General features: G+C 38.4%; 1 protein-coding gene and 1 pseudogene across 12 annotated transcripts in view; one reads left to right on the top strand and one right to left on the bottom strand.

The window, feature by feature from the left end:
• The window catches only part of FAT3 (FAT atypical cadherin 3), a 671,656-nt gene that overhangs the window by 387,566 nt on the left and 259,695 nt on the right, over window positions 1-24,395 (bottom strand). Inside the window, exon 1 of one of the 12 annotated variants that reach the window (XM_017017185.2) lies at window positions 14,895-22,748. The exons of the other annotated variants lie outside the window; for them this stretch is intronic. Within the exon in view, the coding sequence (XP_016872674.1) occupies window positions 14,895-14,970 (76 nt within the window). The 5' untranslated portion in view covers window positions 14,971-22,748. Of the gene's footprint in view, window positions 1-14,894; window positions 22,749-24,395 lie in introns of those variants that run through there. 12 annotated transcript variants of the gene reach the window in all.
• On the top strand, window positions 9,950-10,807 carry RPS3AP42 (RPS3A pseudogene 42; annotated as a pseudogene).

Raw genomic sequence — 24,395 nt, 5'->3', positions numbered from 1 at the left:
GTCAGAACATAACCTTCAGCTCTTCAAGCAAGAACATTTTCAGGTGGATGTGCTGTCAGATATTAGCCATACTTTAATCCAATTTTTAGACTTATTTAATACCGACTCTCTAACTTAGCACAAAGAGTATCTGGAGTCTCTAAGCATTTGGGCTGAGAATTTGAGTTTTGCTTAGAAAAGCCTTTTCTCTTTCACGAAGTTACACTTGGAAAAAAGGTTCCCTAAAGTGAAATGACTTGGGCAAATCCTTGGTGCATATGCCCACACCCACATATTCTCAAAAGCCCAACTATTTCCTCCGTGAGATATGCCAGACAGGACAAAATATACTCTTAAAAATGTAATGAATGGACTTGAACTTCTCTCCTTTTACGCTGAAACTTTGTGGAAATTTTCCTTTTCAGATAACTTTTTCTCCAAGGCAAAAAGAACACTTTTTTTCATTTTTTCTGTATCAGAATCTGAAAAACGTAAGTAAAGCTACATCAACCCTGATACAAATCTCATACTTGCTACCCCTTATAAAGTAACAGCCTTCAGTAATTTCTCAATAAAATAATGAAAGCATATAGCTCACTTATTCTTTTCTCAAGTGAATGAATGCACTCTTTCACAGGTGATTTTATGTTTACCAAGAAAACATTTTTACTGGGGTTGCAAAGATAACTGCACATATGACACAGAGACAACTTTGACCAAAATAGCAAAATTTAATCCCCTGGAAAACACATTCTAGGTAATGGAAGTGAAACACAAAACAAGCAAAGGAAGACAGATTGGGGTCTTAGTTTTGTATTATTGTTTCTTCCTTCAACTATGTATGTTGTGTGACTTAAAAACTTATAACTACATTTATTATGACAAGTTTATAAAAGCCTACGATGGGAAAAGTGCCCTACAGAATGTCTATTTTCTTTCATCCTTTTAGGTTAAATCTCACCAAACTGCCTTTTCCTTTGACCAGTGTTGACACAATCACATAGCCAATGTCATACTTTGGTACAGTAATTAGGTTTGGTTGATTCGGTTATAGGGGGTATACACGCACATGCAAACACACACAGGGTGTGCGTGTGTGTTATAAGGGGCATATACACATGCACACATATACACATATGTTATATAGGATGTGTGTATATGTGTGTATATATATAGGGTGTGTATGTATCCTATATATGTACATATACATGTATATGTTGTATATATACATGTATATGTACACATGTGTGCATATGTGTACATATATGTGTATATATGTATATATTCCACATCTCCTCCAATTTTCCTATACGTATATACACACATATATGTTATATAGGGTGTACAGATATAGGATATGTGTGTGTATATATATACACCCTATATATGTATGTGTGTATATATACATGTGTATATATATGTGTACATATATGTGTGTATATACACACACCCCCACACATATATATACATATAAAAGCATCAGAGTACATGAGTGAAATCCTCAAAACTACCTTGCCTTTTCTTCACAATGGAAACAATAAACTCTTTGCTTTCCTATTTATAACCAAATAAGCAACTACAATAGCACAAAGAAACCAGGGTCCAGAAGGAGGGAAGTGTATGGTTTTCTCTAATTGAGTTTCTCCAGTTCTCATCTTCTATAGATTTCTTGGATTGTTCTCCAATTTTCATTCACATTTCATCCCATTAAATGGCTCTAACCTCTGACACACACATCCCGCCTTGTATTCATCTTCTTTTGGTAATTGAGATGAAATGTGCCCACTTGCTCTGTCGACAGCACCAGAGGCACTGACAAGACTTCGATAAATACTAACTCACTGTGTTAGACCAGCTTTGACAAGAAAACAGAAGAATTCTCCTCTATATTCCTTAAAACAGAATTCAGTGTGCATATGCACACAGCTTGAATATCTGTTAAATGCATGGATGTTGACTCACAGTGAGAAGGGAAAAGAAGAGGAGAAAAGAGAAGGCTGTTTTTAATATTAGCCTGTTGTCACCATGCTGCCTTTATGTTGCAGATAGACTAGTTCTTTAAAAATTTCTATATTTAAATGTGCTTAGTGATCGTAAGCTGTGTAAATACCAATACAGGTCAATGTTAGTTTTAGAACAAATTATTGAGATTTGCAAACAAATTGATATGCAGTTTCTTCAAGCCGGGGAAGAAAAATCATGATAATTTTTCCCCTTTGTAAGAACATTTATTTAAGCACTGCTCATAATGTGAAGCAGATAACATGCATATAATCAGAAACAACTATATTAGGAACTTGGAAAAAGGCAATAATAGTGTGAAATCTGGACTTCTGTGAAAATTCAAGATAATATGAAAAATATTCTGACCTTATATTAACATACTATTTAAAAATTGTGTGAATGGCTCAAATGAAGGATTCTGATGCTAGTTATAGTTATATTGTATGTACATTACTGATAACATATCCAATATCCAAAGGAAAGCTGGCTCACTGAAGCAAAAATGCATGAGAATGGTATTGTGGAGGTATTCCTCAATATTTGTAGCTTTTGGCTCAATTTAGGTCAGACAATAAGGAAAAGCTAGCAGCAAAGAGAAAAGAGGAAAGGCGTCCAGAAAGGAGGATCTTGGGGCCATTCTACAACCACCTTTCTTCTCTTCACATATCTAGAGTTTGAGTTCAACAGAAGTGAAATTTCAGTTACCTATGTGAGGTTGCAACAGAAAGGTTTGCAAAAATGCAAAATGTGCTGTTAAAAGAGAAATTAGGAACAGCCCTAGAGTTCAAGGAGACCATTCTGGACTGTGTGTTTTATGGGGAATTTTTGGTTTTGAGGTCAGTTCTGACCAGCTACCTGCCCAAAATCTTAGGCATGCTCTGTAGCCACAGATATGCTGTCCTGCCTTTCTGAGGAGTAGATGTCATTGCACGTGACCTTAATTATGGTGTTTATAGTTATCCCCCACCCCGCAACTAGACAGACTGTAATATCCCCCAGGGCAGAGAGGATCCTTCCTGTCTTACTCAACATGGAGTCCAGCGCCTACAGAGTGCCTGACAGTTATTGCACATAGTACACGAACAATAAATATTTGTTGAATGAGTGAATAATGTTTCTTCTTCCAGTGGGGCTTTGACTCCTGACTGTGCAGGAAGAGTCCAGCAGAGAATTATTATCATTTATCACATCTATTAACAATGTCCTATATGTGGTGATGAGTTGTAAGGCAAAACAAACAAACAAACAAACACCTAGTTAGTCCCAGGAGGGTAGAAATAGGAAGAGCTGCTAAAAGCAATATTTAATTAAAATAGTAGGAATCCCATATAAGAAAATGTAAGCTCCCCACTGGTTGGCACAGTCTTTTTACACAACTCACAGAAAGCTGCGGCAGATGTAGCTCTGTAACCTTGCTCTGCTGCAGAGATATCCCAGAGAGGGCAGTGATGCACACCAGCACCACACTGGCACTTTCAGCTTCAGCTCCTCCAAAATGCATCTGCTGCACAGCCAGACTCTCAGACCAGGGAAACAGACACCCACAGCCAGGAATCAAGTGTAATATCTAGTCGTCCAGGAAAGTTCAAAGAAGCCCAACAACAGTTGTGGAAGCAGCATCAGTCAGAACCATTCTCCCCAGCAGAAGTTCAAGAGCCCTTAATCAGAAAAAGCTGGCCCATACATGATCTGATGGTTGCATCAGCATCAGGAATTGGTTCAACGGAGGTAGCAGGCAGGCCTGGACAGTCTCTAGTAGGCACACACAACCACCTCCAGGAACTTTCCTCTCTTCTGTCCTACCTCATCTCCCTCCACTCACTGCTCCATCCACCTGTCTACTCCAGATACCTCAGAACCATCTGAATGTTTCTAAAGTGCATTGCATTGTTCTGCCTGAAATAACCACCTACCTCCCCACCCCTCAATAATACACACACTTTAAGACACAAACTGAACACTTCCTTCTTTATGAAGTCATGTCATTAATTCCAAAACAGACATGCACTCATTTCACCACCATACTTATAACCTACCCTTATTTTGGCATTTAATACACAATTCTGCAGTTTTCTATGTCTGACTATTGAATGAGTGTTTTACAGGAGAGCAATGTCTTATTCGTCTTCTGTCCTCCCAGTACCTGATACACATATCACTAGGCAAATGTGTACCAAATGAAAGGGAAACATTCCTGAACTGCAGCCAGTCACAAGAACGTCCTGCCAGAGAAAATGCTAACAGGTAAATCTTGTTGGGGAAATCAATAAATTCCACCAAGATAGCTATTCTTGTAGAAAGAGAAATTATAACAAGGAAAAGGAGGCAAAAGTATAATATATTCATAAGCAATTAAAGAGTGTTTCAAAGACATAGGCAACATAGGATTTTAAAATCAGCTATAAAAGGCTTTATTTTTAGTGGGTAATCAGTCATTTGCATGTTTCCTGCAGAGAACCAATATTAAACCCCTAAGTAATAGTTGTTCAGGACCAACAGTCTTTTGGAAACCCTTCCTTCTGTTTCTGCTATCAAAGTTGAGTGCTGAGCAGAGACCAGAGAGGTTTCAAATGCTACTTAAACAAACAGGCATAGTAGTAGCTAGGAACCATTGAAAAAAAGATGGGTGGAAAAATTACTAAAACAAATTAGAGCTGCTCCTTTAATGCCCAGGTCTGAGTACTGACCTCCCAAGAAGTCTGGCTCATTCATGGAATCTGTGTGGTCTTCTGGCTCTCACATTGTGTTTTCCATGGCACAACTTGTTTTTGGCATATGATGTGGACCTGACAGTTATGGCTGCTCTAAAATGAAAAACTACAACTAGTTAGCTTCCATTACATAATAATTCACAATCTGTGATGGAAATGTTCAAGTCACTTAGGGCTCTGATTTGGAACAATGTATCTCTTTGAATTCAGATGACAGCAGTAATTTATTTGGACAATGTGATTCATAAAATGTGCCTCTCCTTCACCATAACCTCTGCCACTATAAAATGACACTGCTTCAAGGGACCATCTCAAAAGAGCACAAAGCAAATCCCTTTACATATGTGAGAACTGTAATCCATCTAAGGTATAGAGAACTTTGTATTACCACAAGAACAAAATGAAACAAGTGTGCATTATTTTTTAAATTATATTTAGTAATGATCAACTTAAGATAGGGAATCAATGTAATAGACCAGACATGTGTATTTTTTAGTAAAATGAAAAAAATCAGAGTGTGTTGTCTGTAATGAGAATAAATAGCAATTTTTAAAACTTATGTTTGTGTGAGAACAAAAGAAAGAGAGAGGTTGAGAGATTGATTCTAGAGTCAGGTGGCACAATGAGAGTTCAGCTGAAAGATCCTAATTTTATTTATTTCATTTATTAGTGATATGCCCTTGTGGAAGTAACAACTTCTTCTAGGTACCTGTTTCCTTACCTATAAAATAGGAATACTATCTCATAAAGTTGCTTCAGACTTAAAGAATATAATGCATTTAATCCACCTGTTACAATACTAATGATAGTAAACACTATTTACTATGTAAACTGCTTAGCACAGTGCCTGGCACATAATAAGGACTCTTTAAATATTACTAATCATAGCTGCTAATATTACTATTTTAAAATGACTACTACTTTTTTTGGTAAGGCAATATGCATATTATAATCAGGTATTTTATTAAAATGCAAGAATCAAACATTATTTTCCAAAATCTATGGACACAAGTAAGCAAAGTCGATGGAAATTTTCTTGTTGCCACACTCTGAAACTGCTAGCAGCCTCTTCACACTCAGCTGAAAAATGGAACCCTAACACCAAGGGACTGTGAACTGAACCTTACATCAGGACTTCACCAGCTAGTCTTAATTAAGTTCACTTCTCAGACTAAAGCCAACAAGGCCAAATAGGTGCTTTAATAAGATTAGAGCAATAGGCTACCTTTGAGTGTTTACTTCACTGTACGTACAGGCATTATATTAAACCCATTTTAGAAATGAGGAAACAGATTTTAAAGTTTTAGTAACCTTTTCAAGGTTACATCACGCAAATGATAGAAGCAGGATTTGCATTCATGATCATTCCACACATCTTGAGAACCTCAGCACAATAAGTACATCATGATGATCAAATACAAATGCCCATCTATGGAAAGCCTCAATGGTTAGCATCCTTTTGGTCTGGGTGAAAGGCCAATAGTCTTGAGCTCACTACTTCCCAAGCCTTGCCATTCCAGCAGTAGTTGCAATTGTTAGGAAGATATTTTTTCATATCCTGTCCATATATTTGCCTGCCTACACTTTCCACCCATTGAAACAGCGCAGAATAGAGATTCAGCCTCTTCTGCTTCACATGTCTTAAAACACTAAGTGAATCTATCTTCTCTCTGCTTTTCCTCCTCTGGATTCAATATTGCTAGTTGTCTTTGGACATCACTCTTATAAGATGCCTGTTACTCATCCCTTCCCCAGTGCTGTTCATCTTCTCCTAGATGTTATTCAGAGTGAAAATATCTTCTAATGCAATACTCCTGATGCATTGGCCTGCTCAGAACAAAGAACTAGATTCTGAGAACTGGTTCATCTAAAACCCACACTTGTCTATCACTGTCCTCAGAGACTGCATTAGACTTCATAGGAACAAACTACCCTATCCTCTGCTTCATCTCCAGGTTATGGTCACCTAAAACATCAAGGCATTTTTTAAATGAACTCTTAGACCATCTCTCCACACTGATTTCTATGGTGAAAGATTTATGTTTATCCCTGTAATTTTTTCTTGCCTTGCTGCCGGCCCAGCTTTCCAAACTAGACAGGTCACTTCAATTTTTAATTCTTTCACAAAATTAACTATTATTCTCAGGAGTCTATCACGTACAAATGTAAAAAGCATGTGATTACATTAAACTATTATAACTTGACAGCCTATTAGAGACAGGTGGAAATACACACACACGCGCGCGTGCATTTTTGCTCCTCTCATTAAGTTGTGAACTCCTCGAGTTCATAAGCATGGCATCCTCTCCTTTTAGTACATCATGTGGGCACAGAGGTCACTGTATTCATTTGGACTGAATGATTATTAATTTGCACATGTCAAAATTCACTGCTAGAATTGATGATAAGCCAAGAGGCAGGAGAGAAAATAAAATGCCACATATCTGAAGTACAGGTTCAAAGGCAACGACTGGCACATGTTGCTTCCCTGAACCCAATCCATCATAAAGAGTTGACAGAAAATGGAAATTCATATTAGAAAAAAGCCCAACAAAAAGACAAAGAAGAGAGAAAGACAGGAGGAAAACAGGCATGCGCACATGCATACACTTCCCACACACACGCACTTCCCACACACACAAATGACTGTTGAAATTCCTTAAAGTAGTTACTAGACGGCTTTCACACATGAATACCGCCATTTAATGGCATTAGGTCTCTGACTCTGTATTGCTATTAATAGACAGCCTATTAGGGCTTTGCTATTTACAGGCTTCCACAAGGCAACATGATTTCCCAGTAGTATATTACCATTAATTGGTAAAAGGCACTCTAGGAATACCAGTCTAAGACAATAGCTCAGCCACAATTAAAACAGAATTGCATTTGCTGACCTAGACCACAAAGCAAAGTGTGCCTGGGAAATTCTCTGCAATATTTTACAACCTGAACTAATTAAAGATCACATTCCCCATACAGCCAGAAAGCAAACATGAGAAATACCCCCAGCTGAAGACTTTCTAGTTTGATGGTTACTATAATGAGTTCAGTCCCAAAGGTACAAGACAATAGAAAGCGGCTTCTATTTGAAGCTTGTGGAATGAAACTCTGACTTCCCTTAATTTTGGAGCAATTCCTTCTTGTGCACTATCAGTCTCATCCAAAAGCTGTCATCCAATTTTCCTGCAATGAACATAGGGAATGTAAGGGGGAAATCGATCTCATTGTAACCTGATAAATTTCTTTAACAGATTTAATGTTGAAAAAGATTAAAAATAGCATATCATGATTGCCAGACTGTATGCTGGATAAAATTCATTTATTAACTTAGGAGAGTCTTCCCTCATCTAAAGTAGGCAGTAGACTAAAACTGTTTTTACTATGTGATTAAAGTATCTTTACACAGCAGCCCTAGGCACCTCAAGTTATTGCTGTATTGCCTGGAGGTAAATTAAGGTGATACTTTTCCTTTTCCACAACTCTAATAGGATTGTACATTCTGCTGCTGGCAAAACCGATTACACTATTACCTATTGCAAAAGCCTCATTCCTGAATGCTGATGTGTGTTCTGTCACATCTGACTTGAAAAAATTACCTCTTCGCACTTTGTTCTGATAATGGGAAAACTTCCAAGAAGGATGTTTCCAGGGAGAGAGATAGAAATATATAAAGGAAAAATGCACATTAGGCACTGATGTAACAGATGTCACTATTTTGAAACATTTCATCATATTTTTCCTCCTTCAAATTTCTTTTACAATCAGCCTAATTACGTTAGCCAGCATTTTAGGGCATCAATCTTGTCCTGATAAATACAGGTATTTTTAATCTCCAACACAAAACCATTCCTAGAAGAAAAAAATACCTTATAGATCATAAAAGTACTTGATAGATTATCTATGACCATATCTGAAATTAAATTAAATTAAATTACATAATAACATAGTCTAATTTAATACTGTATGGTCCAATACAATCTTTTGGAATTCATCCTTAAAGGGAAAAATAAATATATGATATGTGTGACAGGTCTTAGCATTTTAATGTCAATGAGCCTAGCCTTCTAAATTTTAGTCAACAAATATTCATTAAGCATCTCCTACATGACAGGCATTTTCTCAGTCTACAGATCCAGTGGAGAATGTAAAACCTCAAGGAGGAATGAAAACATTTTAAATTTTACATTATTTACCCTTACTATCACTAGCATATTGCTTAGATTTCAGTCCCAATCTGAACATCAGAAATTTCTATAGCTATCAGACCCCTGACATTTGTAAAGGGAATGGATACCCTGAGAATTAATACTCCAAGCTCTGATGCTGTTACAGTCTCTTCTAGCTCTATTCTATCACTTTCCTGAGGGAAGTCACACTTCTTGTGTATCCACTTCCAACACCAGCTAACTGACTTTGTAAGTTTCTGAGGGTTTATTCTTTCTAATCATGGTGACTTTTCACACACACACACACACACACACACACACACATACACACACATACACACACACAAGATCAAGACTTTGTTCACATAGATGACTCAAGATGACACTGTGAACAACATAGCCAAGCTCAGATGTGGATGCTGGGCAGTCAGCTAGGGTCAGGGTCTCTGCAAATTTTTTTGCTATCAGCATCCCAAAACCAGGTGATAAAAATTAGATTCTCAGCAAAATCAGGACTGCCTATGTCAAACACCTACAAAGTAGTTCTTGAATAATCAAAACCGTTGATATTAAATCAATGAATACTAAAGGCATACTCTACTGGGTACTATTTATTAAGATTTCATTAGGTAATCACTTTTAATTAATCTTTAAATAGTAAATGGCAGTTGCACTTTATATAATAAAATACATGATTCCAAGCCAGCACTCAGGAAATGAACTTAGACAATTGGGCCAGCCCACACCATATAGAGACTTTCCCAATTCCTTTCCTGTCTCTCCTTAGCAGAATTAGTAACTTCATCCACTGTATTTCCAAAACAAATTTTGTGTACGATTAATAAAGCACTTACCATTCTCTTCCCTTTTGACATACCTACTCAAGGTCAGAGGTTGTGTAGTAACTGCCTCTGTATCAACAGCACCCAGCACAAGGTAGGGTGCAGAGTAGGTCTTCAATAAATGCTTGCTAAATGAATGATACCAAAATAACACATAACAAAATATAAAATTGAAAAAATAAAAGGAATAGCAGTTTACATCTCTATAAACACATGAAGGTTAAAGTTACTTTTAAGAGAAAGATAGCCTTTTGGCTCTCTGAGCAGCACCATGACGGTTAGCAAGAACAAGTGCCATACAAAAGGTGGCAAAAAGGGAACCGAGAAGAAAGTGGTTGCTTCATTTTCTAAGATATATTGGTATAATGTAAAAGCACCTGCTATGTTCAGTATAAGAAATATTGGAAAGGCACTGGTCATAGGGACTCATGGAACCGATTTTGTATCTGATGGCTTCAAGGGTGGACTGATTGAGGTGAGTCTTGGTGATGTGCAGAATGATGAAATTGCATTCAGAAAATTCAAGCCAATTACTAAAGATGTTCAGGGCAAAAACTGCCTGAAAACTTCCATGACATGAATCTTGCCCATGACAAAATGTGTTTCATGGTCAAAAAGTGGCAGATCATTATTGAAGCTCATGTTGCTGTTAAAACTATAGATGGTTATTTGCTTTGTCTGTTCTGTGTCAGTTTTACTAAAAATGTGCAATGGTCAGATACCAGAGACAGAGGACCTCTTACACTCAGCACCAACAGGTCCACCAAATTTGAAGGAAGTCATGACCTGAGAGGTACAGACAAATAATTTGAAAGAAATGGTCAATAAATAGATTCCAGACAGCATCGGAAAAGACAAAGAAAAGGCTTGCCGATCTATTTATCCTCTTCATGATGTTTTTGTTAGAAAAGTAAAAATGCTGAAGAAGCCCAAGTTTGAATTGGGAAAACTCATGGAGCTTCATGGAGAAGGCAGAAGTTCTGGAAAAGCTACTGGGAATGAAAGTGGTGCTAAGTTGAATGAGCTGATGGATATGGATCACCAGCCCAAAAATCTTTTTAAAGTTCAGACTTTTAATAGTGGTAGATAAAAAGTCCCATTTGTGGAAAAAAAAAATAAGAGCAAGAGAGTAACAGTGAGTAAAATGTTAGATGGTCAGTTCTTTGAGAGTAGGAGCAGGTCCATCTGTCCCTGCCACACCACTCTACCCCCAGGCCTCAGCATGTGAATTTGGAACAACAAAGACTATCATAAATATCTGTTGAGTCAACATAAAAGGGATCTGAAAACCAGATTCTCTTGTGTTTATGCCTGTTTCGCTTGCAGAAAAGTCTCCCCCAGAAGTATGCTACCGATATTAAAGATTACAAACCACCTCATCCGAGGCTCCATCTAATTGCTGGGCTGTAGAGAGAAGAGACTTAGAAAAGCCCTCTCTCCTCCAAATTTGCTTTTAAGTGAGACCTTACAAAACTGACCACAAGCTGGATTCCTTCATATAGTATCCTTGTCCTATTGATAGATAGCTTCTGACTAATTTAAACTGTGTCACCTCAATAATTATCAGATGATGTCATATCATAAATCTGGAGACAGGCTTGGGTCAAGTTGTGACTCTGTCATTAAGTAGCTGTGTGACCTCCAGCCAACTATTACATTTCTCACAGCCTCAGTTTCCCTCTTTATAAGATGGAGATGAGAATGACACCTCACAAGGGAGTCAAGAAAATTAAAAGAGAAAAATGTATGTGCAAGAGCTGCATCAACTTCAGCTTCTATTTGTGTAGAGTTTTCCATAAAAAATATTATTTTTTCCAACCAAGAGCTCTTCATTACGCATCTGTTGGTGGCATTTAAAATGCACAGACATTAACTTGAATTTGTATCTTCTCTGTAGAAGTAACCCTCTTGATACAAACTCATTATCTAACAAAAGGGCTCAGAATGTGAGTGCCAGGCAGCAGAAAGGGGGTTGTGGTCCCTTTTCTGGTGCCATGGAAGGCTAAGGGGACAGAAATGTGACACTAGCTGGGCACTAAATTAGGTATGGAAGGGGAAGCCCAGGCGTCTATGGAAACTAGTACTAGAGAAACCTAATCTAGGCTATAGAATTCCAGACAAACTCCAGACAAATGCTACTGAATCGCATCACCTAAGTCAGGTTCCATTCGAAATACACTTGATCCAAGTGAGGAGGCCAAACAAGGGCCAGCCTGGGGTGCACTGAGTGTTGAAGTCATCATTGTGAAGCTTGTAAAGTGGAAATAGCACGGGAGTCATGTTTAGGATCATTGCAGTGAATGAAAACCAGAATCTTTAACCTTTCCCAGGTCTGGGGTGTTGCCTTCAGTGCCTCTTCTGGCACTCTCCAATAAAACCAGAGAGTCTCTTAAAACTCAACTCTCATATTATAAAACATAACCCCTTTCCTCCTTTCCTAAAGTGATTTGCAAATCTAACACCGTGGGGCTGCAGGCATCATTCCTTCCTTCCTTCAACCCAACAAGGAATTAGTAAGTGTCCACAGTGTCCCCACCACTGCCCTAGAGACAGAATTACAAGTGAGAATAAAACAGAGGCTCACCGCAGTCACGGTTACAACCTAGCAGCACATAGAGCAACCCCATCCCAGATAGGTGACAATAAGTGCAGGGGGAGAAGAGGCACATGGGGGTCACTGTGAACTCTGATTTGGGCATGTGTGAATGTCCCACGGAGGAAGGAAATGTAATCTGGGTTCCCAGGATGAATAAGATCACCAGGCAAGAGATGGGGCTATGGAAGAAGATATTTTCTAAGAAGCAATAAAAAGTGTGGTCCCAGGTTAGAAGTAGGGAGGGGGAACAGCAGAGGGTGCGGTGGAGAGGCAGGGGGCACAGATGGAGAAGGTTTATGACACTATATTGTATTCATGCAACAAATATTTACTGACTCTTATGCATTAGGCACTGAGGGTAGAATTGAGCAAAATCTCGATTTAGCCTGAACACTCTTTAAGCAAAAGGCTACATACGTTACGAAACCCAGCAGCTTGTATTAATTGTCCATTCGGTAGGTAAGACGGTTGAAAGGGTGGTTATGTGCTGGCCAAGTGACCCTAACTGAAGACCTCACCCAAATGCGCACAACAGATTTAATCAATCAACAGTCTCCAAATTTACACACTGAAAATTGGTTGTGCTCATCTTTTGGATGGATCAACACTACAGAAAATGCATGTCTAGTAAAGATTTTGCAGGTTACCAAAATAAATAGCTAACACTTGGAAGTGTCTCTTCAACTCTGATTTAAACCAGCTGATTTGGGTTCAAATAGCTGAGAATTAAGAATCAAAATCATCTCCAGCCCATGTAGCTCACACTACACAGCTCTGTTAAATTACTCTATCAAGGGTCTGAAAAAACAGTACACTGTGTACATAGTGTTATTACTCTCTGAGGATCTTGTTTTGGATGTTATGTCTCAGAAATCACTGGAGTTGGATGGGTGTTCTCTGCAATGTAAAGCTGAACTCCATTTTACTAGGTACAGGGAGATTATACCCAGCTATGACTGAAGACAGGATAGTCCATGTGTCAATGATTGAAACAGCAAACTTCTCTCCTCTGAAAACTTTCTAGGTGTCTCAGTAAACAACTTTCAAAGCTGATCAATGGTTGCTTTCTGCTTCTCTCCTCCACACCAGCAAACTAGAGATAATGTGCTCCTAAGCTACTTTAGAGAAACAATGAAAATCATAGTGAAAAATATCTTCAATTGTTTTGAGCCAAACAAGCCAGTCAACATTTGTTGAACACTTCATTGTACACAAATTGTTGCAGCTGTCCAATCCCACTGAACTAGGCATTTGGGAGATGCGCGCTGGGCAGAGAAACCTGGATTCCAGCCCCAGCTCTGTCACTAATTAACTGTGTGACCTTGGATAACTAACCCTTGCTAAGAACCTCAGCCATTTCATCTACTCATAAAGAATACTGTCCCTTGTTCTGTCTACCTCGCTGCTTTGCTATGTGGATCAAATAAGACAAGTTTACAAAACCTCTTTGAAATGTATAATTTGCTAGGCAAATACAATAATTTATTATTAAACAGAAGATGCTGCATATGCTTGAGAAGGTTATGGACTAGCAGGAAAGAAAAAAAACCACGCTACATGGTTGTTGATTTTCTTTCTATTGCAAATCAGTATGTATATCTGCTAACCTGAGCATTTTAAAGAAGAATATCAAAAATTCATTTCCTAAATCAGTTTTCATGCTGTCCCTATATAATGTTTCGTGGTCTCATTATTCAAACAAATAATTCATGTATTAGGGTTATTAATGTGTTGGGATTACCTGGTCCTATGAACCGTTCCTGATGGTCAATATTGGGAGCCTTGAAATATAAGATTTTATAAGGTAGGAATCACATTTTCCACATGTTCTGTTAAGTGTTTCCTGACAACACTGGAAGCAGCATTTAGGATACTGGCAAGGAGGGCAGGTTCTGCAATAGGATGGCTTGGCTATAAATCCCAATTATTAATTATGAGAAATATTGGGCAAGTTGCCTAAATATTGTAATAATTTCCTCATCTCTATAATATGTATGATAACGGAAACTCTTATGCTACAGTTATTAAAAATTAAATAAGAAGATGCATAAAAGTACCCACACAGTGATTGACACACTACATGTTTGTTACATGTAGTTTATACATGGTGATCACAGTTATAAAAGTAGAAGCTACAGTGTACTCAGACAATGTAATACTTATATGCTGGAGACAACATGAAATTCACTCATATATTTGGGTATGTACATCCTCCATTCCAAAATTAACAATAATGATATTTTATTGAGTGACTATTATGGGCCAAATGCATTATCCCTAAGTAGATGATAGTAGCCACATGATACGGTTTGGCTCTGTGTCCCCAACCAAATCTCATCTGGAATTATAATCCCCACATGTTGAGGGAGGGACCCTGGTGTGAGGTGGTTGGATCATGGGGGCAGTTTCCTCCATGTTGTTCTCGTGATAGTGAGGGAGTTCTCAATGAGATCTAATGGTTTAAAATATAAGTTTTCCCCTGCACTCACTCTCTCTCTCCTGCCATTCTCAGGTATTTCTTTATAGCAGTGTGAAAACAAACCAAAACATCACATTTTTACCAAAAAAAAAAAAAAAATAGAATCAGATAACTTACACAATTTGCATGAGATCATACAGCTGTTAAATGACAGAATTAAGACTTCTCTCAGGTCTGTGTAGCTTCTGCTCATTCCACTAGGTCATTCTTGCAGCCCACTGCTGATTCCTGTTCAGCCTCAGAAACTCCTGTATCTCCTGGTGTCTTCACTTCCCATGTGGTTCATTCCCAGGGGTACTAATAGAATGAAGTTTGAGCCATCAACTCATGCTGCATTGTTACCACTAGCCTTCAGCACGTCTGTTAGTCCCTTTTGCTTCCTTCTCTGTCTCCTTAATTATAAGCACTAGGCCACATCCTAAAGGATTCAGAGCAGATTGACTCTTCATAGCTCCTGTCACCTAGGAACTCAAAAATCTTGCTGGGGACACACACTGTAAGTATTACAAGTGCTATGTGACACATGGGAAGAAGCAGAGTCCTCCCAGTTGAGGCCTAGAAGGAACATTCAAGCCCATCCTTGAGTGTGGAAGACCCATCCAGTCAGCATGAGTGAAGTGTTAGTGTATTCAAAGCACAGCAAGCCGTGCAGGTGTCTGTGAAAATAACAAAAGATTGAGAGGAAGCTTATTTAAGAGATCTGAGTTCTAGGCAGAGTTCAGTCCAGGCCAGGGGAACTCTAAGTACTTAAGGCAGGAACACCACCAGTAAGGAGCCAGTGTCTGCAGCTCAGAGTAAGGCCAACAGCCAAAGGGCAAGAGCTCTGGGCATAGGGAGGAAACTTCTGCCCATTATCTGAGGGTCTAATGCAAACAAACCAAGAGGCCAGGGCAGAAGTGACTTATCTGGAGGAGAAATTCTGAGAATTCAAGCTAGGATTGGGGAAAAAATATTCATTTCTGGAGAATGGTGCAGGCAGGTTTGAGACATCTCCATCAAAGGTCAAACCCATCTATGAGAAACGTCTTGACTAGACTTAGAGAAGAAAGCATAAAAATAAATTTCACCTTGAGAATGACAAGTCGTTTGAAATCTACTTAAGTTTGAGGGAGAGAAGAATCTCTGTAAATTGTAGAAAATGTAAAGAAAAAACAAAACAGAAACTCTGTTAACTCCTCTTATTTTCACCTCTGACTTTTATTTAACCTCATTTGTTTTTGCCAGCAGTGAAACCCACAGAACATCTTGATGATGACTGCCTCAGGGAGAAGGGAACCAGCATTTGTTCAGCATCTACTGAGTGCCAAGAATTTTAAATGTTTTATTTCATTTAATTCTTGCAAATTACCAAGTGATGCTCAGAGAAGTTAAATAACCTACCCAAGGTCACAAAGCTCAGGCTTTCTGTTGCTGCCACAGGGTTGGTACCAGATTTAGATGTTGGGACCATGTGGTATCAATTATGTTGGGCTGGAGAGGGGAAGCTCCCAGTATGAACTCCAAAAGATAGGAAGGGATTTATCAACCTTCCTATCTTCCAAACCATAGATTAAAGTGCTCTGGACACTGTCATCATCATTGTCATAGTAGCAATAATAATAAAGCTACCATTTATTTAGCAAATCTACTACTACTAATACATCACTGTTTTAGATTATTCACGTATTATCTCTGGTACAGAATACAACCTTGCTAATTATTATGATCTCCATTTTAAAGATGTGGAAATTGCATCTTAGAGAGGTTAAAGCATTTGCCAGTAGTCACACAGCAAGCAAATGCTAAAGCCAGGACTCAAACTCAAACCAAGGTTAGTGAGCATGGATGGATGGATGGATGAATGGATGGATGGATGGATGGATGGATGGATGGATGGATGGATGGATGGAAATATATATATAGTTGATGAATAGCATTCATTAAATAGGATTATTTTAACCAAATTGAAGCTGTGTTAAAACACAAAGGAGGGCAATCTTCTGTAATAGGAGTACATATATAATTACAAATTAGTTCAGAATCACCTAGGTCTAGCAAATTGCTTTGGCTGGAGAGCAATTACTGCATAAGAACACACTGAGTACCACTATATTACTGCATAAGAACACACTTCTGCATGCTGCCCCATCAAACTACTTTGGAATATAGACCACGCAGATGGATACAGGGGCTGTGGATACAAAAAAGCTAGTGAGGAAGTATTCAGCTCAGGGTGGTACATCACCTTCCTGTGGTTCAATCCTTATAGGTGCCCACTGAAAGAAAATAAGCACAGGTCTGTCAAGAGCCATGGCCAGGCTACCCACCTGTATCATCGATCAAGAGTAGTCTCTGCATGACTCTCTTAAGAACTGGTGACAATGGTCACAGGTTGTCTAGCAGAAAGAATTATCCTCAGGAACAAAACGAATTTACAATTCTACTCTTAATGTGAATTACTGTTGGAGAAAAGAAACTCAACACATTGCTCTAATGTCATCCCCCTACTGCTCCTCCCAGAAATGCTACAGCAATGCCAAAGAGCCCAGAAATTCCTACATATACAGCACTATTTCAGGCCTCTATACTTTTTCAAATGCCATACTCTTTGTCTGGAATGCCTTTCCTTCCATTGTCTGCTTGGAGAATTTTAAATTATCTTCAAAATCCCAGTTGTAGTATCCCCATTCTCCAGGAAGCCTTCCTGATTCTTCCCACAAGGTTTCTCAGCTGAGCACTATTAATATGTTGGGACTTACAATTCTTTGTGTGAAAGGTAGGGCTCTCCTGTGTATTGCAGTAGGTTTTGCAGCATCTCTGGTCTCTATCCATTAGATACCCATAGTACCTGGCCAGTTGTGGCAAATAAATGGCTCCAGATATAGGCCAATGTCCCTTAGGGACAGGAGGAAGGGAGAATTGGCACCAGCTGAGAGTCACTAAGCTAGAGTACTTGAGTGCTAAATCTTTGCTGTGGTTACAATGGCCTTTCTTGACATCTAAGTAGAGGAATCAATCATTAAAGGTCCTTCCTAATCCCATTTTTCTCTGCTAACATAGGGAAACGTTAAGATTTGAAAGAAGAATTTCAATAATGGTCCTCTAGGCAAACTCAAGGCCCCTAACTGTTTTATTTACAATCCTCTTCACAGAAGAGAATTATGCCACCGAGGTCAAGGAAATGATGAATTATAAAGATGGGAGTTCAAACCTTATGACCTTGGACCTTGATCCTAAGTTTTCCTATCTAAAAAGTGAAGCTAATTTTAGCTATCTTGTAAGGTTTCTGGATTAAATGAAATATATACATCAAGCTGCCTAGCAAGATCAGCAGCCCCTTTCCTCCAGAAGACTGGGAACAGGCTAATGTGTGAGAAAATGTTTTATGAATTCTATGAATGCTTTATAAACTGCAACTGCTAACCAATTTAAGGTTTTACTGTCTAATTTTTTAAAACTCAGGATAAAAATTGAGCTTTTTTCCTTCAATGCAACATCCAAAGAAATTCAAAAAAAATCTTTGGGAGGATGATTTGAATTAGAAATAATAATCACTTCTAGGTAAAAGCAACAACAACAGCAAAAAACAAGCAGACAAACAAAACAAACAAACAAAAACCCCACCACTTTACAGCATACAAAATCCTTTCATACACAATGTTTTTTGATAGTCTCCACTTCTCAGGAAGTTATCTGAAAGGAGAGGAGACAGCCTAAGAGAACTCAAGAATCTACCCAGGTTCCCAGAGCTACAAAGTAAAGTTGAGACTCAAATCCAGTTTGTAATAACAGACCTCTTTCCAGTGAACACTGTAGTAATATTTTAAATGCAGAACAAAGAGCCATTCAGCCCCAGCCTTTCTGAAATTTGAATTACATTCCTATATGCAAAGCTAGAAAGACAGTAGAGACCATTAGAACTGATTATGCCGATGGCTATCATCATTAGCTGCATATAAGCCAGCATTAAGGATTTGCAGACATAAAAAAGAGCTATTTCTTTTGTCAAAAACAATTATAACTAATTCTTAAAAAAGTATATTTTCAACCCAAATCAGATGAAGGAATAAGCCAAAAGGAGAGATGGGCTCTTTCCATACTGCATGCAGAATCTCTTAATTAAACCCAGACATTCAAAAGTAGTTTCAGAAGAAAGGTTAATGAAATGGGGTAGGGAGGGAAAACATCTCCAGAGAACCCTGCAGACTAGTTTTCTGAGCTGCCTCTTTCGCTGCTCATGGGAGAAAGTAAAAAAAAAAAAAAAGAAAAAGAAAAAAACTACGAAAACTCATTTAACTTTTTGGAATCAAGAATGGAACTGAGCTACTTTTCAGCCTTCTGCAGAGAGCTGTGTCATAATGTATTTTCCCCTACTCCGTCCAGCCCGACAAACAGTAGCTGAGTTCTGGATACACCCTTCTTCATCTCAGAGAGGAACTAATATAGTTTGATATAGAGCAATGATGTCCTATTAGCATCTGGTAGGTGTTATAAATTTGGAAAGATATTAAAGTAAGAAGGAAAATCTCAAAAAGCAAAGATGTTTTGCTTTTTTTTGTACTTTTTTAAAAATTTGTACCCAAGTACAATTATCCATGACCAACTCTCCTCTATGTTCCATGGCAAAAACAAACTATCGTATAGAGGCCACTGCAATCCCAGACCAAGGACCAACCTAACAGACTCTCCATAAGATCTCACCACAATTGAGTGAAGAGCAGGGCGAAAGGATAAGTACATTCGGGGACTAAATACAGAGGAAAGTGCATTCCAACCAGATGGAAAAAATGCATAATGATCGGGAATAGGCCTCCAGAGTGTGGCTCTAGCCCTGAGAGTATTCATTCATTCATCAAATATATATTGTAATTTTTTACTATTCCTGTTCTGCCAGGTACTGCCCTAAGTGCTAGGGCTAACATGAGAAGCAAGAGTGGGCATGGTTCTCATTCTCATGGAATTTATCATCTAGAAAGTGAGATAAGCATTCACATTAACAAATGCAGAATTCTAAGCAGTGAAGTAAATGCGTCTATGAGAGATCACAAGAGTAACATCAACACAAAATGCAACCACCACCAACACCATTTACTGAGAACTTACTCACCAGGCATAGTACTATGCACTTACCTTATTTGACTCTCCTAGGTGGATGGAGTAAGCTACTACTATCACCCAATTTTAATATGGAAGATATTAACTTTCCTAGTTTTATGAAGTAACCTGTGCTTATCACTTTAGTGTTGAGGAAATGGAGACATAGAAAGGTTAATAAATTTGCCCATGATTTTACAGCTAGTAAGTGGCAGAGCTGAAATTCAAACCCAGGCAGGTGGATTTCAGTGCCCGTGCTTTTAGTCAGTGTGTAACAAAGACTCCTCATCCAGGCTGAGGTGGGAGAAGGCTTTGCTGAGCAAATAACACTTAAACTGAAAGGTAAGTATGAGTTTATCTAAAGAGAGATCAGAAGTTAATCCAAAAGGAGCCTGGGGGATGGTTCTAGGCAGAGGAGGGAAACTTGAAAGTATAGGGAGGACAAGTAGGATATAATGGGATTCTCTACATCTAGGAACTGATTCTTAAAGTGCGGTCCCTGGACCAGTAGCATCACTGACCTCTGGAATCTTCTTATAAGTACAAATTATTGTGCCAGGTCTACTGAGTAAGAAACTCAGGGCTGGTTGGGGGGCGGGGGGGGGGGCGGTGCTAGTTATTTATTTCTGTGTAACAAATTGCTACAAAATTAGCAGCTTAAAACAGAAAATATTTATCATTTCATAGTTCCCATGGGCCAGGAGTCTGGGTACCACTTAGCTAAGTCCTCTCCTCAGGGTTCTATAGGGCTGCAATCAAAGTGTCAGACAGGCTGTGTTCTCTTCTGGAAGTTCAACATGGGAAGAATCACTTACAAGCTTATTCAGGCTGCCGGTAGAATTAATTCACTTGTGGTTATAGGACTGTGATCCCTGGCTTCTTGCTGGCTGTCATCTGGAGGCTGCCCTGCAGGTCCTTGCTGCATGAGCTTGCTCAGCATGGCTACTTACTCCATCCATCCAGCAAAGACTCTCTGAAATAAATCTGCTAGCAAGTCAGAGTCTTATATAAGCTATTGTAATCGTAAGGGTGACACCCCATCACCTTTGCTATTTTCTATTGCTTAGAAACAAGACACAGATCCCTTGCACAAGAGAAGGGGATTATACCAAGGTGTGCACACCAAGGGACAGGGATCGTGGGGGCCACCTTAGAGTCTGTCCACCACAGACCCAGTACCCTGTGTTTGGCAAGTCTTCCAGATGACTGTGGTGCATGCTCATGTTTGAGAATCACTAGTCCAGACTATGGATTTGAGAGAGAATTAGAAGGTAGGGTCATAAGAACTGGGAGCTATAATAACCCTATTAGATTATACAGTTTAACATTGAGGTTAAGAGCATGGGCTTTGGAGCCATTAAGATCTAGGTTCAAGTCTCTGCCATTTTCTAGATTGTACGACTTTGTGCAAGTTACTTAACCTTATGCTTTTGCCTCTTTATCTATCAATATATTATGGCAATCCCAAGGAACCTACTTTTTAGAGTTTAGGGTTGTTGCGAGAGTTAAAAGATCTCTAGAGTACATTATATCTGTATGTCTGACGCTAAGGACGTGCTCAATAATACAGGCTACTGCTAACATCTGTGGGATTCAGTTCTTTCCGTAAAATGAGATTAGATCAGACAATATGTAAGGCACTCAGTTATAGAATTCAAATGTAATAGATAAAAAATTATGCTTTTCAGAAGATTATAACTTTTTCTCTGATATCTAGAATAGTAATAGCAACATCCAGCCTGCAAATGTTTTATTTCCTGTGCTGCTAGAAGTGAGCAGCTACCAACCTCCTTGGTTTGATAGAAAAACATCACCTGCATGGCCCTCTTGGAAGGCATGGATTACCCTCCAGAGACCCAGTTCCTATATCTGCCTACTTTGAAAAAAATAATATGAAACAGATTAAACCAAGCTACAGCAACACCCTCAGGATTGCTTCTAAACGATTACTAAGTGGGGACCCCATTCTGGAGGAACCAGTGCTCTTAGCTGTCCTGAATAAGGGGCAGAAGATGTTTCTTCTGCAAAAAGACAATGACCCTTTTAAACTCTGCCTTTTCCTCTCCCTTGTTCTTTCATGCCTCTTTCTCCCTTATCCAATCAGGGTTAGGCTCCCCAATATTTGAGAAAAGCTTTCCATTTAATGAAATGATTGCTAGTAGGAACCAGATGAGAGTGGGACACTGAGCAAGATCTTGGCAGGATATAGGGGAAAAATAATTTCAAACCCTCCTCTAATTCTTGGTGCCCAGAAAGGTAAGGATCAGAGTTCACCTCTGTGAAAAGAAAGCTGTTGTGTTCAGAAAAATCATTTGAATGGGCTTTTAGCCATGCAAAGCCAGACAAAGACTTAGAGAATAGAGTGGAAGATACAATAGAGAAAAACATGAGGAAATGTCTGGAGGAAACCAAATTTATTGCAGTAACTAATTCTGGAGATACGGATGGAATCATTTGGGCAGGTCTAAGAGAGAGCATAAAAAATCTGGGATTTTTTAAAATTGCACTTAATTACAGTATCTGACACAAATAAATGCTTTATAGAATTAACTAAGGGATTAATAAATGAACGAAATGAAATCCTACATTCTTTTCCCTGTACTTTGTAATTTAATCTTTCATTGTTGACTACTAAAATATGAGATGGACATGACCCCAGGAAATAGCAGACACGTGTAAAAAAAAAGGACAACAAAATGTGCCTCCAAAGCAGACACCACCATCTGCCTAGATTGGAAAGTATAATTTAGTAAAAAAACAGGCAGAACACGTAGTTCAGAGAGTGTTAATACACAGTCAATAAAGTAACTAACCAATCCATAGTAAAAGCCCCCTAAAGGACAATTCTGCTGTGTTTTATTCTGAGAGCAAATTAAAGCAAAACAAAGATGAGTCTACCAAAAAAAAAAAAAAAAAAAAAAAAAAAACCCCAGCAGCCTCTCCTCTATTTCACATATGAGTCCTTAGAGGAATTCATGGAAATTATTCATATTTTTCCCATATCTCCTACCTATAGTGTACAGTGCCAACCTAAAAATTCCTTTGTTCATGTATAGCTCTCTGTATGAAATCTAGGTTCATGGCTTTACCCTTTTCTATTTCCTGCATGCAGAATATGCTCAGAATTATCTATTCATGAGCAGCATTAATCTAGAAAAAGATTCACAGAGTTTTGATAAGGTTGCAAATTACCCAGTTGCCCAATCAGAAGTCCTGTCATCAAATCATTAGGGGTTGTTTTAACATACTACAATTCTTAGGCTGCATAAAAGCTGGTGTTTCATTCTTTGCAATTGAGCACTGTTTCCATGCCTTTCTGGTTTGTTCTAGCAGCTGATATAATTCCCATGGGACTTATGGTATTTAGTGTATATGAATTTGTAACTGTATTTGTTTGTGTGTGTGATGAGAAAGATGCAGACAAATATTTTCATTCACATAATGTATACATCCCCATAGAATTAGCTGTTCAGACACTAACTTGGTATTTAGGCCCTTTCGTTTCTGTGTAATCTATTGGATTTGGTACCTCATTAAGATGATTAAAATAAGCCATTCTATCAATATGCAGTCCAATTATTCCAATAGTCTAAATACAGCTATAGTCTGGTCCTTTCCTGTCTCTAGAGAAGCATGACTTTGCAGACAACTGTCTTCCAGACTTTGTTCAGGGCGCTTGGGGCACTTCAGTCTCCCTAAGGTCTTTTAAAATGAAATCTGTCAATAAGCAAATGAGGCGGAGGGCACATATGCAGAAGTCTTTAATCTTCAGCATTTATTTAACACCTATACTGTGCCACCATTTTCAGAGAGAAAGTATTGGACACATATATAAACCAATACTAGAATTCCCAGGGGTTTAAATTAAATAATGGCCTGTTTTCATTACATTATTGTCTACCACGGCACATGCCAAGCTTCTTTTTAATTTGTAGAACTGTTTGATTTGAAGTCAACAAAATATTTAAAATGACCTGTTTTTCCTTAGAGGTTCCCACACATAAGCTTAACTCAATATTCTTTAACCCAAAAATCTTGTTTTCTAAAAAGTGTGTACTGAGTAAACTGCTAGGCTATACAAATACATATGTGTGCCACATACATTCACACACTCTGAGAATGCACACATTTCCAAAGACATCGCCCAAAAATTACTTGTCCAATTAACTTCTTTATGAAAAAATAAATTCAGTTCACCTACAGACCCACTACAGTAACCATCTAACAACCCTGCAGCCTGATTGCAGAATATTATTAATGGTGGTTATTAGCTGAAGATGCAGCGTAGAAGCGAACATATAGAGTGAGATTTACAGTTATTACTCTGTGGAGAGAAAGCAAGAGTGACTCAGTCCTTCTCATCTAACTTACAAACAATAAGCTGTGGGTTTAAGATTAAATGATTTGATTTTTTTCAGTAATTTACATAAGATAAAACTGATGCATCGTCATTATCATCTTCCATCATCCAATGTTTTAAAGCTCTGTTTTGCCTTCCCTGAGGAGGCCTAATGAAGGCTATATTCCATTGTTCTGAAGTAGTTT

This window comes from Homo sapiens, chromosome 11, assembly GCF_000001405.40.
Source record: "Homo sapiens chromosome 11, GRCh38.p14 Primary Assembly".
Taxonomy (NCBI): Eukaryota; Metazoa; Chordata; class Mammalia; order Primates; family Hominidae; genus Homo; species Homo sapiens.
The sequence above is the reverse complement of the archived record's forward strand: the minus strand, read 5'-3'. Positions and strand labels throughout refer to the sequence as shown.